Below are 17,884 nucleotides of genomic sequence, written 5' to 3' on the forward strand. Positions count from 1 at the left end.
AAGTATGGACCAATTTATTTAACTAGAGGTCTCTTTGGTGGTAGAGACCCAACTTTCTCTTCCTAAAGTTCAAAATTCTGGAAATTTGTCAGCTGAATCTGCGTATCCCTGATCAAGGGACATTACAAGCTAAATGATATTAATTGGCTGACCATGAGAGGAGAGTCAGGATCGATTACCTGAGCCTAACAAAAGGACACAAAGTTTCTTCCACAATTGATATTTCACGAAAATGACATGTGGACCTTGGAGTTTTGGGTTAGGGAATTAATAATGGTGTAAGTAGCAATCTCTATTATCCACTATTGGTTCCACTTCTCTGATTGAACCCTAAGTGACATGTAATTCAGCATTGGGAATGATTCCAGAAAAAGACTCTTAAGGATGAGTTCTCTAAATTGATTCTATGATTTATGAGATGATGTCTTAGTCCACTTTGTGCTAATGTAACAAAAAATATCATAAATTGGGTAGTTTATAAAGAAAAGAAATTGCTTTCTCACAGTTCTGGATCCTGAAAAGTCCGAGACAAAGGTGCTGACAGGTTCAGTTATTTGGTGAGGGCTTTACTCTCTGGATGGGGGGACACTGTGTCCTCACGTGGAAAGTGGAAGGGCAAGAGACTGAACACCGTGTGAAGCTTCTTTAGTAGAGGCTTTAATCACATATGTGAGGGAGGAGCTCTTACGGCTCAATTACCTCTTAAAGGTTCCACCTCAATACTATCTCACTAGCAACACATTAATTTTGGAGGGGACATATTCAAACCATAGAACATGAGTTCTCTAATCTGATTTGATATAAAAACATTGACTTTGCTTCCAATGGTAAAGAAAGCACTGAAAGTACATGGCATGCAGTGGCAAAACAGTTACTCAAATTATCATGCTAAGATGCTTCTAATATAGGCAAGGCTCTGGGTGATGATGCATTTGCCCTGACAGAATATTACAGTTAAAATAAGAGAATTATATGGTTGTTTGTTTAGTTGCATCTAACTGCACTGGAATGCTTAAGGAAAGACAATGATAAGCTTGTTACTTAAAATTCCTAGCTCAAGGCCTTACATAAGAGACATGAAAGCCTTTATGAATGACCTGGAGAAAAAGAGCTCTCTTCCTGAAGCCACAGGACCAATATTTCTAAAAATTAAAGTTTAATCTTTTGGGTGGCTGACCACAAGCACGATGAACTCTTAAACATGTTAGGCTCTCTTTTATTAAAGTTAGGACATTGATTAGGAAGAAATGAGATTCTAACAATTAGAATGGAAACAAATTCCAATGAATATTGGAAATGCGAAGCAGGCTGAGAGGACTGCTCAGCTGTGAATATGTGCCACATTTCATACAAAAGTAAACATGACTTAAAAGAGCCTAAAAGGTAGATTTCAGAGCCATGGAGATTTATTCCCAGGCCTTGAAACTATTTAAGAAACTCTCAACAGTAGTCCACTTGAATTTCAGGAATTCTACAGACCAGTGACTCACTTGAGCTTCCTAGTTTTAGGGTTTTTAATAGGAGTGTCTATAGTGGTTATCCTGTGTCTATCCCACCATTGTATGGCAGGTGTGTGGCAGGGAAACAGATAGTTTATATCTTCAATTTCACAGGTCAAGATAAACTGTGTTCAAATAGTTGTACTTAAGACATTACACCTGAGAAGCCTTATCAACACCTGGACCTCATTTAAAGAATAAGATTTTGGAGTTTGTGCTGATGCTATAGTAAAATGAGACTTTGAGTGGCCTTGGAAATGAGACAGTGTATCTCAAATGTCAGAGGGGTGTGAATCATTGGGAGTTACAGGGGACCCTGTAGAAGGCAGCCTCTGAGATGAACCCCAATCATCTCTACCTCTTGCTATCCAGGCCTGTATATAATTACCTTGTCTTGTGTGTGGGCTGGATTCAGTGACTCATTTCCAATGAAAATGATAAGTGTTAGTAAAGATGTAAAGAAATTGTAATTCTTTAGACACTATTAGGTGTAATGTAAACTGGTTTAGATAACATAGAAAATGGTATAGATATTTTCCAAAAAAAATTAAAAATAGAACTACCTTGTGATCCCAAAATTCTACTTCTGATTGTATATATATGAAATAATTGAAATCAGAATCTTGGAGAGATATCTGTACCCCCTTGTTAACTGCAGCATCATTCACAATAGCCAAGATATGGAAACAATTCAAATATCCATTGAAAGATAAATAAAGAAAATGTTGTATACATACAGTGGAATATTATTCAGCCTTAAAAAAGTAAATTCTATTTGAGACAACATGAATGGACCTAGAGGATATACCACTAAGTTAAATAAGCCAGTCATAGAAGGGCAAATGCTGCATAATCCCACGTATATGAGGTATCTAAAGTAGTCAAATTCATACAAGCAGAAATAGAATACTGGTTGTTAGTAGATGGGGGAGGAGGAAATGGGAAATTGTTGCTAAATGGATGTAAAGTTTCAGTTATGCAAGACAAATAAGGTATAGAAATATGTTGTACAGCATGGTAACTATAATTAACAATACAGTATTGTGCACTTTGAAATATGTTAAGGGGATAGGTCTCGTGTTAAGGTATTCTTATCACACACACACATATACACACACACAGAGACACATACAAGAAAACACAACAGAACACAAAGAAATTTCTGGAAGTAATGGGTATTTTTAGTACCTTGATTGTGGGGATGATATCAGTGGTGTATACATATGTTCAAACCATCAAAATGTATACATTAAATATTTGCAAATTTTGTAGATCATTTCAATAAAGCATCCTTAAAAATACATCAGAAGTAATATTACTTCTGAGATTAGGTCATATGTCTGAGGTGCACTCTTCCTCAATTTGTCTTAGATCATTTGCTCTGGGTGAAGCCAGCTACCATGTTGTGAGGTGTCTTACAGAAAGGTCCATAGAGCCAACAGCCAACAGTGAGTTGACATTATCAGTCCTACAGCCCACACGAAACTGATGTCTGCCAAAAATCTTGCAAGTGACTTTGGAAGCAAATTCTGCCCTAGCCAAGCCTTTAGAGGAGAATTCAGGCCCAGCTCACAGCTTGACTACACAGTTATGAGACCTTGAGCCAATACCAGCCATCTAAGCTGCTCCCAAACTGATGATCTACAGGATTTCTAAGATAATAAATGTTTGCAGTTTTAAGTTGCTAAATATTGGAGTAATTTACAACAATATATAATTAATATAGTACTTCTAAAATGAATGAACAAAATTATAAGAGATATAGACTGTGTTTCTGATGGCAGTATCCCAAATTTTCTTACAAAGCAACTGAAAACTTCAGCAGTTTCCAAATACATGGGTTCTATATACATGGATTTAAACAACCATATATTAAAAATTTTTTGGCTGGACGCAGTGGCTCACGCCTGTAGTCCCAGAACTTTGGGAGGCCATGGTGGGTGGATCATGAGGTCAAGAGTTCGAGACCAGCCTGGCCAACATGGTGAAACCCCGTCTCTACTAAAGATACAACAAATTAGCTGAGTGTAGTGGCATGCCTGTAATCCCAGCTACTCGGAAGGCTGAGGCAGGAGAATCGCTTGAACCCAGAAGGCAGAGGTTGCAGTGAGGCGAGATCGCGCCATTGCACTCCAGCCTGGGCAACAGGATGAGACTCTGTCTCAAAAAAAAAAAAAAAAAAAAAAAAAAGCCAGGCACGGTGGCTCACACCTGTAATTCCAGCACTTTGGGAGGCTGAGGTGGGCGGATCATGAGGTCAAGAGAACGAGACCATCCTGGCCAACATGGTGAAACCCTGTCTCTTCTAAAAATACAAAAAATTAGCCAGGCATGGTGGCGCATGCCTGTAGTCCCAGCTACTTGGGAGGCTGGGGCAGGAGAATCCTTAAACCGAGAGGCGGAGGTTGCAGTGAGCTGGGATGGCACCACTGCACTCCAGCCTGGGTGACAGAGCCAGACTCTGTCTAAAAAAAAAAAAAAAAAAAAAAAAATTTAATTGTGTTTATAGTGACCACACACAGACTTTTTTCCTTGTCATTATTCCCTAAAAATTACAACTATTTATACAGCACTTACATTGGATTAGGTATTATAAGTAATCTAGAGATAGTTTAAAGTATACAGGAGGATGTGCATAGGTTATATGCAAACACTAAAATATTTTATATGAGGAACTTGAGCATCCATGGACTTGGATATCTGTGTGAGGTCCTGAAATGAATTCCCCACAGATTCCAAGGGACCACCACAAATCTAGGAGACTTTTCAAGGGGTGGGTATATTTTCTGGGCTAGTTTCGATTTCATACCTTTTTCATTATTGCAGATTCTATTTTGAGGATCCAGCATTCCTTTATTTCTTTGTACCCCAAATACTAGAATTCAACTTCATTGTTTCAAAGTCTTTACTATTAAGTTAGCCTTTGTATATTCAATGCTACAAGTACGTCTTAACCACTGAATCTTTATCAGTTGATTTTCAGTTCAGGGTCTCCTTCTAATGTTTTCTACAAAGTGCCAGCTCTCTGCTTTAGCTGTGGCCCTTGAGAATGTTTATGTGTTTGTTTGGCCCTATAGGTCCTTCTGTAACTAATCAGGCTGCCTTGAATTCATATTTTTCAGTTAGCCATGTCACCTATGCATACTGAGTCAAATGCGAGGATGTTTATTCTAAAATTCTTACTCTTATTACAAGGAGTAGTAGAAGGTATGCAATCTTATATAGCTATCGAATAGCTCTTTTACCAAAAATTTATTTGTGGTGAGTCTACCTCCAACTTATTGTCCCAATTTATACCTACTGTCTAAACATAATGTTAGTACATTTTTTCACTCTGGGAAGTATTCAGAAGTAAATATTACAGTTTTGACAATCCCTTTTGTAACCAAAATTGCCCAATCAGGAGAAGCAGTGTTGGATTGTAATAAAGAATGCAAATTTTGTGAAAACTGGAATTGAAATCCTAACACTACCTTTTTCAGCTTTTTGCTCTTGGTCAAGTTACCTGATCTTTACTTTTAAAATAGATGAGAAAAAAATAATAACAATTCATAGGCTTATGAGTATTCAATAAACTACTATACATAAAGTCCTGAGAAAAGTGCGTCTCATAGAGTGATTACTCAATAGATATGAATATTGTAATGGGTAATTTTATAAGTAAACTGAATTGGCCATGAAGTACCTAGATATTTGTTCAAACATTATTCTGGGTATTTCTGTGAGTGTGTTTTTGGATAACATTAACATTTAAAGTGGCACACTGAGTAAAGCACATTGCCCTCCCCAATGTAAGTGGGCCTCATCCAATCAATTGAAGGCCTGAATAATGAGAAAAAGCTGATCTCTAAGTAAGAGAGAATTTCTTCTGCCTGACTGCCTTTAAGCTGAGACTTCAGCTTTTTCCTGCCTTCAGAATTGAACTGAAACATTGGCAATTCCTGTGTCTTGAGGCTGCAGGTCTTTAGGCTAGAATCACACCATCAGCAATTCTGAGACTCCAGCAATTCTGCTGACTCTCCCTGCAGATCTTAGGACATGTCGGTCTCCATAATCTTGTGAGCCAACTCTTTATAATAAACAAGTACACATGCACACGTCCTTAGTTTGTTTCTCTGAAGAGTCCTGAATAATAGAAGTATTAAAGAGGCTATAACAAAATTGCTTAATAACAATCATGTATGCTAGAGAAGAGGGATACATTCTTCAACTTTTCCACCTGTAACTTTCTTAGAAAAGGAGATTTCACACTGATCCTGTGCAAATCTATTAACAAAATATTCTGTAGGGAATGTGACACATTAGCTTAGCATTAAAAATATGGAATATTATCATTTAGGATTTGAGTTCTCAAACTTTTGATAATTATTCGGATGAGGATCATGATGATAATTATTATGGTTATGGAAATCAAAGCAATTGTTATAGACATCGTTTACTTTAATACAAAGCTACCATGATTTGAATTCAGCTGTAAGGTATAGAACATTAAAAAGTCAAAGAAAATATGTGATTCTTAGCATCAAAATACAAGTTATTCAACGTAAAATAATAAAGCACAATTTAATCTGTCAGAATAGCAAAGTGTTTCCTTTTTCAAGTAACTATTGGTTTTGAATACCGTTATGTTAAATAGCTGGTTTCCTAGGTTTTGAGCAGCTATAATCTTAGAACTACTTTAACTTAAAAAAAAACTTGTCTAAGCCAAGCGCTAACATCAAATTTAATGTTGAAAAACTAAAAGCTATGTCTAAGATCAACAACAAAATGAAGATGCTCAATGTCATCACTTGTTTAACATAGTACTAGAAGTCCTAGCCAGAGCAATTAGTCAAGAGAAAGAAATAAAACGCATCCCAATTAGAAAGTAGGTAGTGCAACTGTAGCTGTTTGCAGATGATATGATTTTATATATAAAAAGCCCTAAAGACGCCACAAAAAAACTGTTAGAACTAATAAAGAAGCTCAGTAAAGTTGCAGGATACAAAACAACATATCAGTAGTGTTTTTATATACTAAAAATGAACTTTCTAAAAAAAGAAATTTAAAAAAATCATATAGTAGCTAGAGAAATAAAATACAGTATTTTAAAGCATTACAGCATGGTGACTATAGTTAATAATATTGTATTGTACACTTGAAATTTGCTAATAAAGTAGATCTTAAGTGTTTCACTACACACATGCACACAAAAGTTAACTATATCAGGTGATAAATATGTTAATTAGCTTGATTGTGTACACATCCATCTAAATTATCCTGTTGTACACCTGAAACATATACAATTATTATTTGTCAATTATACCTCAATAAGTCTGGGGGAGCAAAACTTGCCTAGGAAAATAATCAGAAATGCACGCTAAGAAAAAACACAAATAAACAAAAATTACTTTTGCCTTATTTAAAAGGGGAATAATTGAGATAACAGAAATTACTCCAGTTATATTATACTACTTTAATAAATACTTGTGCACATGCTAAAATTAAGTTTATTAAAAATTACTAATGGCATGTCAAAATAATGTTAATTGACAAAAAATCAGGGTGCAATACAATTGCAACCAGATTTAAAATATTCTAGAAATAGAAAATATAGCATACTATAATCTTTACTTTTGAGTAAGAAGATCATAGTTTTTAAAAATGATAGTCCCAGCTACTCGGGAGGCTGAGGCAGGAGAATGGCATGAACCCGGGAGGTGGAGCTTGCAGTGAGCTGGGATCACATCACTGCACTCCAGCCTGGGGACAGAGAGAGACTCCGTCTCAAAAAAAAAATTATATTCTTTAAAATTTTAAAATATATTTTCTCTAATTTTCACCAATAAGCATAATACTTCAACTATATGGGGAAGATGAGAACCAACAAATACAAATAAATGAAGTATTTACTGAACAAAAATAAACATGGTCTTTGCCATGGTGATCTTTTTTTTCAGCCTTACATATCATATTTGTAGTGAGAACACTTAAAATCTCTTAGCAGTTTTCAAGTATAGAATGCGTTGTTATTGACTATAGTCACCATGTTGTACAACAGAGCTCTTGAACTAATCCCTTCTGTCTAAATAAAATTTGGTATCCTTTGACCAATATTTCCCCAATCCCTCCATCACCCCCAACCCCTGGTAGCCACCATTCTACTCTCCGCTTCTGAATTTGACTTTTTTCAGATTGCACATGTAAGTGAGATCATGCAGTATTTATCTTTCTGTGCATAACTTATTTCACCTAACATTAGTGTCCTCCAGATTTATTCATGTTGTCACAAACGACAGAATTTCCCCCTCTTTTAAGGCTGAATAGTATTTCATTGTGTATGTATACCACATTTTCTTTATTCATTTATCTGTTGATAGACGCTTAGGTTGATTCCATTTCTTGGCTATTGTTAATAATGTTGCAATAAACATGGGAGTACATATAACTATTTAACATACTGATTTCATATCCTTTGAATATATAGCCAGTAATGGGATTGTTAGATCATACAGTAATTTTATTTTTAATTGTTTGAGGAACCTCCATACTGTTTTCTCTAATGACGATACTAATTTACATTCCCAGGCATGTTGATTTTAAAGCACGATAGAGCTTAAGGAAATCTCTTGAATTATTTTGACGTGTGAGTCAGGATCAACTGTCACTTTGAATCCCAACTTTTTAGACAATGTAAGCTTCAAACTCTCAAGAACAAAGCAAGTACCTCAGTTGGAAATGCAGAAATCACCCGCCTTCTGGGTTGATCTCGCTGGGAGCTGCAGACCGAAGCTGTTTCTATTCCGCCATCTTGCCAGCCGCCTCAAAGTATGAATGTATATCTGCTACACAAAAGCATCCATAATGTGAACGCTGGGAGAATATGACTGATTGAGTATAGTAAAGTCTTAAGGTATTGTAAGTCTATTATTTCATAATCTCCATATTAATGAAGCCATTTCACTGAATTTTAAGATTTTAATTGTTTTTCCTGAATATAAATTAATAGAAGTACAAATTCTAACATTTTCAACCACTATATTGCTCTAAGTGAAAGTCCCCATTAAAATCACCCACAAAGAATAACTATAGTTAATTTTAATTATAGTTATAGTTAATTTTTAATTATAGTTATAGTTAATTAAAAATTAACTATAGTTAATTTTTAATTATAGTTATAGTTAATTAAAAATTAACTATAGTTAATTTTTAAAATATATATGTTTTTCTAGGCATCTATGACTGTCCTCTCTGTTTATATTATTTGGTCATACTACAAAAAGTATAAAATGACTTTTCCACCATATATATGTATACATATATTTCCACAATACGTATATGTGTACACATACACACACAATTTCTATACCAATGTAAAATTTTGTAAAATAGTCAATAGCATGGACTTGTTAATCATAAACACTGCATTCAAATTCTACCACATATTGGCTGTGTCACTTGAAGCAGAATTATGTAAACACCTCAAAAGTCCAATTTTCTAATATATGAACTGCAGATAATACTGTCTGAGTCATAGGATTCTAATAAAAATTCAAGGCAGTAATACACATAAAGCTTTTAGCACATTACCTAAGAGATGAATGTTAAATATCTTAAGTTGTTTTTGAGTTGTTGGTATTGTTTATTATTATTCCATATTTTATAACAAAATATTATTTTATATATTTCTCTAGGATTATCTCTTGTAAGTGAAATTGTAAGTTTTATTTATTTATTTATTTATTTATTTTTTAGAGACAGGGTGTCACTTGGTTGCCCAAGTTGCCCGGGTTGATCTCAAACTCCTGGGCTCATGTGATCCTCCCACCTCAGCCACCCAACGTCCTGAGCCCAGCCAAAATTATGGGTTTTAAATTTTTTCATCTTACTATTTTTAAGTAGTTTTGGATGATTTATTTTCCCTAAAACAATATGAAAGCTATTGGAATACTTCTTTTTTACACCTACTAAACAGTGAATATTTTCTGGAGTTTTTATTATTTTGCCAAAAAAGAGGCTTTTTTTTTTCTTTTTCTTTATTTTCCAGATCTTTATGTATTTCAGTTGATATCGCTTCATCTATTTCTTTTCTTTTCTTTTTAGAGACAGGGTCTCATTACGTCACTCAGACTGGAGTACAGTGGTGTGATCGTAGCTCACTGCAGCCTGAAACTCCTGGGCTCAAAGGGTCCTCCCATCTCAGCCTCCAAATTAGCTGAAATTATAGGTGTGCACCACCATGCCCAGCTAATTTTTAATATTTTTTTGTAGAGACAGGGTCTTTCTGTGTTGCCCAGGCTGCTCTCGCACTCCTGGACTCAAGCAATTCTTCCTCCTCTGCCTCTCAGAGTACTAGGATTAAAGGCATGACTAACCGCACCCCACCCATCTATTTCTTAATATGTGTGTATTTGATATTTGCATTAGACGTCATATAGCAGAGAACTCTCAGCACAGTGAAATAAACAAGTGAGGAATTTAGAGGTTGATTTATTTTCCATAAAAATCAGGAGATAAATAGCTTTATACATCAAGTTCCTCTTTCAGGTAGAATGATATTTTACATGTATATACATACATACATACATATATATATATAAAATGATAGGTTATATATATAAAATGATAGGTTATATATATATAAAAAATACAGATAGGTTCTATATATATACACACATATATATGTGTATATAAATGTGTATCTATATATATATACACACACATATATGTGTATATAAATGTGTATCTATATATATATACACACACATATATGTGTATATAAATGTGTATCTATATATATACACACACACACACACACACACACATATATATAGAACCTACCTGATAAAACTGAAGCTTTTCCCAAATGGCCAACATTTCTGCTTATGCCTGATGGACAAGAACTATCATAAGGCCATCCCTAATTTCAAGGGAACCTGAGAATCATATCCAGCTGGTGCCATCACTGTCCCAAACAACACAGTTTCTGTTATTAAGAAAAAAGTTAATTGACATTAGTTTATCAATCTCTATTTCATTAACCTTTTATAGTTCTTTTTTTTCTAACCTTTTTTTATTTTTTGGTCCATTTTTCTGTTCACCTGCTCTATTTTTTCCTCTTTATATTATTATACAGTTTGGTATAATGATGTGCTGGTAAATGTTTATTTAACAACTAGCTCTCATCACAAAATGAAAAAGCCTAATTTGTAGCATTTTTAAAATATTTATGGCATAAATACTCTTACTGTGGCCAATCTTACACTCCCAAAGTAATGTAATTAAATGTGGAGTTAGAAAGAAATGAGTAGTAATACACAATTATCTAGTAATTCCACCCCAAAGATACAATAAACATAAACTTGAAGGCATAGATAATAGTACAATGCAGTAAACTAATTAGAAAGTGATGTTTTTCCATTTTTATTACTTTTATTTTTTAAATTATTTATTTAGTTTTATGTTTTATAATTTTCATAGTAACAACTGTATTTAACAACTGACACAAAATTAATAAAACAGTTGGCTCTTACAAGCTATGAGCTGGCTCCAGCACACAAGTGGTTTGACATACGTGTCTGTTTCTGTATGTGAGAGAGCATGTTTATGCTAGAACAGTCTTACTAATCATATTTTATTCTTATATGCCAATAATTTATATTTATGTTTTTAATTTTGATAGAGGCATGTTAAGATCTCTTTATTGCTATTTTATTTCTGAATAATTCTAGTATTATATTATAATTAAATGAAATTTTATCTTGCATCATCAATGAGCATTAGATTTTCTTGTAACTTTTTGTTTATTTATTTATAAACTTCATAAGCTACTAAGTGCTAGGTGTAGTTTTAGGTACAGGAGATACAGAAGTGACGTCTCTGAAAGTACTTGCTCTGAAAAAGTGGGTTTGTGTTGGGAGATGGGGAGTGTATTTGGAGTAGGAAGAAAAGGGTTAGTAGCTGGCCTACAGCTTATCACCATTCCCATGAGGACATACATGCAGTCAGAAAAAGAAAAATGTTCAGGTCAAGTCATCTTGACAACATGTTATCAGACCCTCTGATGGTATTTACCAGAAGGAAATAGAGTCTTTATCTGTGGAATGCTTTTCTCAGGACCTGCTCTAGTTGCTTATAAAATATAAATTTGGAATTGATGGAATTATGGAGCAAAGTATGCTGGAAAATATTACATCTCATGTAATTATTGGGTATAAAATGGATATGTTTTATGACCAATACAGTTACTTTTGTATAAATGATGCTTCACATGCATTGCTTTAAACCTCGTATGTTAAATCTCAATCCAATGTCCCCAATGAAAGAAGACATATGAGATATGCTGATGGTTTTAGACTGTTTTAGACATGCTCTTCCTTGATCATGCGATTGCCTGCATCCATTGAATTTCTAGTAACCTTTCTTATTGGTCAGATCTCTCTGATCTTCATGAGTCTGACCTTTTTATTTTTTTATTTGAGGGATAGCAAATAATAATAAAGAAAATATAATAACTACTATGAAGATAATTAAAATGCTTTGAGTTTGAAGAAATTTAAAATGTGACTGATTTAGAGCTTGTGATCAGAGAAAGACTATTTGAGAAGACAATGTTTAATTTTGAACTGAAAGGTGAGTGATGCAACATTCCAGAAGAGCATTCCAGGCAGAGACCTGCAAAAGAGCCAAAGATGAAAATGAGCTAAGTTAACATAGAAAAAGTGAAGAAATTCCAGATGTCGAAAATGTCATGAGATTGGGTAAGAAAGGCAGAACATAAGTCCAGAAAGATGAAGAGATGCCAAGTAATTCAGGCCTCGTAGCCATAGGTGAAAAGTTTAATATTTATTTTAAGTCCCCAGTGAAGCCATTGAAAAGTGACAAAATATATTTATATGGCTGCTGTGTGAAGAATGAATCATAAAGAACCATGATTGAAAACAAAGAGAAATTGCTTTAATAGTTCATACAAGAGAAGACACTGACTTTGAACAGGGAGTTAGGAGTGGAATGGAAAAGAAATGGAAGGATTCAAAATAAAGAGGTAGGGTCTAATGCCATCATTTCAAATTGGTTTATTTTGTGCCTAGAGAACATCTGGCAATATATGGAGACCTTTTTGATTGTCACAACCAGGGATGGAGGTGGTACAACTGGCATCTAGATGGTAGATGCCAGGAATGATGTTAGCCATTCTACAAAGCACAAGACAACTCCTAATACAAAGAATCATCCAGCCCAAAATTTCAATGGTGTTGCGCTTGAGAAACCCTGGTCTAGCAAAATTGTTGCTAGACTAGGTATGTAGGTGTGACAGAAAGGGGGAGCCAAAGGCTGATTTCTAGATTTTTAGGTCTGAGACATTATTGATCTTCTTTTTCTTGTACACATTTTTTTCATTGATTTAATTTTCTTAAATGTTAGTAATTTAATGTTTATTTTATTTGTTTTGAATAAGTTTTATAAATTTTTGTGTACTCTTACATTTGACTCATTGGAACTTTTAATTTCTAACTTTATTATGGTTGTAAAACGTGGTCTAAATTAAAACATTGAATATTTATAATTTATTAAGATTTTCTTTGTGCCAAATGCAACCTCACATACTCCTTGCCCATATACCCCCTGCCCAATGATGTTTAATTGAAATGCTTAAGAATCTGGAAAGCAAAGAGAAGACAAAATAATCTTCACTTGATTTTTTGCAAAATGATAATTAAAAACATAGAAAATTCTTTTTGTTAATCAGTATGTATAAAAAAGAAGTGTTCCAATAAGTTCACTGCATTTATATTTCCATAGTTTAATTATAAGAAAATTTTCATTCATTTTTGAATTTTTGAGGTATAATATATAGAAAAGTTGAGAAATCATACGTGTATGGTTTGATGACTTTTTACAATTTAAATTCCCCCATGCAACCAGCACCTAGATCAAAAAGCAGAACATTGACAGCACTCCAGAAGTCCCTTTAATGCACCCTTTTATTCATTGTGCCTGAAGGGTAACCTCCATTCTCCTTTTAATGCCATATATTATATTAGATTTTCAAAAACATTTTATCCTGAGAAGCATACAAATAAAGATTGGATTTTATTGATTCAACCATATGTTGTGAGATACATTCATAATGTTGCTTGTAGTTGTAGTTCATTCACTTTCATTGTTCTACAGTATTCTAGTTGATAAAGAGTTGAAAATTTATTCCTATATTTTACCTATGGTAGTTGCCAATATTCTACCATTATGACTAAGACTATTACTTATATTCCTGTGCATGTCATTTGAACATGTATGTGCATTTCTGTTAGGAATATACTTAGAAGTTAAATGGCTGGTTATGGATATGCTCTCCTCTAGTAAACGCTGCCAAATGATAGAATAAATTACTGTACAACCAGCAGTGTGTGGATTTTTAGTTGCTCCATATGTCTACCTTTTTTCCTTTTCTCATTTTTTCATTTTAGCAATTGTGAATATGCAGCAGAATTGTAATGTGATTTGAATTTGCACTTACCTGATAAATAATAAAGTTGATCACCTTTTCTTACGTTTATTTCCCATTTGGATATTCCCTTGTAAAGGGCTTTTAAAGTGTTTTGTCTAGACATATATATTTTTCAGTTTGTTTGTTTATAGTCAAAAGGTCTTCTATTTTTTTTTACACCTATTATGCCATGAATTCACAGGAAATAGGTTCCAGCAGCTCAGGCTTTGCACTAGGTCTCAGAAAGTATACTTCTTTGGGTAGAGCAGGCTGGCACTTCAGTTGAACTCACATACCTTTCTCTTTTGCTTCCTTCTTTTTCTGATCATTTTCCTTCCTGCATTTCAAAAAGTTATCTCGGTTGTCAGAGCACTTAATATGCTCAACATGCACGTTAATTATCTTGGCAAGAATCTTGTTCTTAACTTGTTTATTTATAACAATGCCAACAGCATGCTGGGTACATTGTAGAATATTCCAGTTTTTCCCTGGTAACATTTGTGGGGCATTCCTTTTTGAACAGTATGCATTCTTTGATGTCTGCAGTATCACCATTCTTACAGGTTCACATGTATATGGCCAAAGGAGCACCTCCATATTTTCTAAAAAGCCTAGAGAACATATATTGGGTGCTTCTCCTCCTCTTTACCTTTGTGTTCATCACTTTGGTGGATTACTGGAAGAAGGAGGTTCTAACTGAAAGGCTAAATTTAAAGTGTGAATAATGTTTTAAATAGTACACAGTATTTTGTAACATTTCTTCAGCAATAATTTCTGCTATAAGTTTCATGTGTACTCTTTCAGTGATAACCTATGAAAATATAGTTTTTCATATATTTATATTTATATATTATTAGTATAGTATATATTATATCTATATAAATTATATCTATACAAATATAAAGTTATAACAAAAGGAAATTTGTTATGACTTTATATGGATGTATATAAATGTATTGTATATGTAAAAATTATTTTTAAAATGCAAATGGCAGGACTTGCACTTCTGGGAAGGTAGAGCAGAGGTAGTTTTTTCTGTTCCTTCCATTAAGTACAACAAACCCCCTGGGCATTATATATAACATAAATATAAGAATATATATAACATAAATATAGGAATATTTGGAAAAATAGAGAGAAGGCAGACTATACAGGTAACTTGGGACACAAGCAATGACATGGAGGGAATTTTACTGGAGTTTCTTTTTGCCTCATATACTCTAGACTGGGTACTGAAGAAACCAGAAAAAAAAAAAAATGAAATGCCAACAGAAGCAGACAAAAATGTCCCCAAGAAAAGCATACTGTCTCTAGTTAGAGAACCTGGAATGGAGCAATTTAGCACGATAGAAAACTTTTAGGTAATCACTGTATTCCAGCTAAACAGTGCAGAAATTATGAAAATTTTGGCCTCATTTTCATCCCTACCAGCAAATGTTGAGGGAAGAGTCTAGACTTCAACTCTTGCCTAGCTGTAACAACACAAATCCCTTACCCTGGCTGTCTAGTGTGGTATCAAAAAAAAACCATGCAGAATTAGGATTTTCTTATTCTCATAGACAGTAACAAGGTATTATCCTCATTCACTTACCAGAGTGATCTCAGAAGATATCTCATAAAATAAGATTTTTTAAAAATTATTTTTTTTATTTCAATAGGTTTTTAGGGAGCAGGTGTACACTGTACTCAATGTGTAGTCTTTTATCCCTCATCTCCTCCCACTATTTCCCCCAAGTACCCAAAGCCCTCTCTTATGCTTTTGTGTCCTCACTGCGTAGCTCCCACTTATGAGTGAGAACATGTGATGTTTGGTTTTTCGTTACTGAGTTACTTCACTTATAGTAATAGTCTCCAGTTCCATCCAGGTTGCTGCAAATGCCATTATTTCATTCCTTTTTATGGCTGAGTGGTATCCCTGTATATATATACACATATATGTATATGGATATATATATATGTATATGTGTATATGGATATATATGTGTATATGTATATATGGATATATATGTGTATATGTATATATGGATATATATATATGTATATGTATATATGGACATATATGGATATATATACATAGGGATACCACTCAGCCATATACTATATATATATATGGATATATATAGGGATATATATATATATGGATATATATATGATATACATATCTCTCATATTTTGTTATCCACTCATTGATTAATTGATGGGCATTTGGGCTGGTTCCATAATTTTGCAATTGTGAATTGTGCTGCTATCAACATGTATATGCAAATGTCCTTTTCGTATAATGACTTCTTTTCTTCCAAGTAGATACCTAGTAGTGGGATTGCTGGATCAAATGGTAGATCTACTTTTAATTCTCTAAGGAATCTCCACACTGTTTTCCACAGTGGTTGTACTAGTTTACATTCCTGCCAACAGTATAAAACTGTTCCCTTTTTACCACATTCATGCCAATATCTATTATTTTTTATTTTTTTTGTCATGGCCATTCTTGCAGGAGTAGGGTGGCATCTCACTGTGGTTTTGATTTGCATGTCCCTGATAATTAGTGATGTTGAGCATTTTTCCATATACTTGTTGCCCATTTGTATATCTTCTTTTGAGAATTGTCTATTCATGTCTTTAGTCTGCTTTTTGGTAGGATTGTTTAATTTTTTCCTGATGATTTGTTTGAGTTCTTGGTAGATTCTGGATGTTGTCCTTTGTTGGATGTGCAGATTGTGAAGATTTTCTCCCACTCTGTGTGTTGTCTGTTAACTCTGCTTATTATTTATTTTTCTGTGTAGAATTTTTTTAGTTTAATTAAGTCTCATCTATTTATCTTTGTTTTTGTTACATTTGCTTTTCGGTTCTTGGCCATGAAGTCTCTCCTTAAGCTAATATCTAGAAGGGCTTTTCTGATGTTATCTTCTAAAATTTTCATGGTTTCAGCTCTTAGATTTAAGTATTTGATCCATCTTGAGTTGATTTTTGTATAAGGTGGGAGATGAAGATCTAGTTTAATTCTTCTACATGTGGCTTGCCAATTACTCCAGCACCATTTGTTGAGTAAGGTGTCCTTTACCCACTTTATGTTTTTGTTTGCTTTGTTGAAGATCAGTTGACTCTAAGTATTTGGCTTTATTTCTAGGTTTCTCTATTCTGTTTCATTGGTCTATGTGTCTATTTTTTATACCAGTATCATGCTGTTTTGGTGACCAGGAAGATATAGAAACTCTAAACAGGCCAATAACAAGCAGTGAGATTAAAACGGTAAAAAAAAAAAAAAAAAAAAAAAAAAAAAATGCCAACAAAGAAAAGTTCAGGACCTGACGGATTCACAGCTGAATTCTATCAGACATTCAAAGAAGAATTGGTACCAATACTATTGACAATATTCCAAAAGATAAGGAAAGATAGAATCCTCCCTAAATCATTGTGTAAAGCTAGTATCGCCCTAATACCAAAACCAGGACATAACAAAAAATGAAATGTACAGACCAATAACACTGATTAACATAGATGCAAAAATCCTCAACAAAATACTTGCCAAAAGAATCCAACAGCATATAAGAAGGATAATCTACCATAATCAAGTGGGTTTTACACAAGGGAGGCAGGAATGGTTTAACACATACAAGTCAAAAAATGTCATACACCACATAAACAGAATTAAAATGTAAAAAATCCCGTAATTATCTCAATAGATGCAGAAAGAGCATTTGACAAACTCTAGCATCCCTTTATGATTAAAACCCTCAGCAAAATTAGCATATAAGGGACATACCTTAAAGTAATAAAAGCCATCTATGACAAACCCCCAGCCAACATTTTACTGAACAAGGAAAAGTTGAAAGCATTCCCCCTGAGAACTGGAACAAGATAGGGATGCCCACTTTCACCACTTCTATTCAACATAGCACTGAAAGTCCTAGCCAAAGCA

General features: G+C 33.9%; 1 pseudogene, besides 1 other annotated feature; it reads right to left on the reverse strand.

Annotated features, from left to right (window-relative positions):
• Window positions 8,171-8,371: a silencer, noted in NCBI's record as "peak3973 fragment used in MPRA reporter construct". NCBI's record gives its function as "represses an SCP1 promoter by STARR-seq MPRAs in K562 erythroleukemia cells {active_cell/tissue: K562}" and the evidence as "EXISTENCE:reporter gene assay evidence [ECO:0000049][PMID:32103011]".
• On the reverse strand, window positions 14,149-14,614 carry RPL21P32 (ribosomal protein L21 pseudogene 32; annotated as a pseudogene).

This window comes from Homo sapiens, chromosome 2 (assembly GCF_000001405.40).
Source record: "Homo sapiens chromosome 2, GRCh38.p14 Primary Assembly".
Classification (NCBI taxonomy): Eukaryota; Metazoa; Chordata; class Mammalia; order Primates; family Hominidae; genus Homo; species Homo sapiens.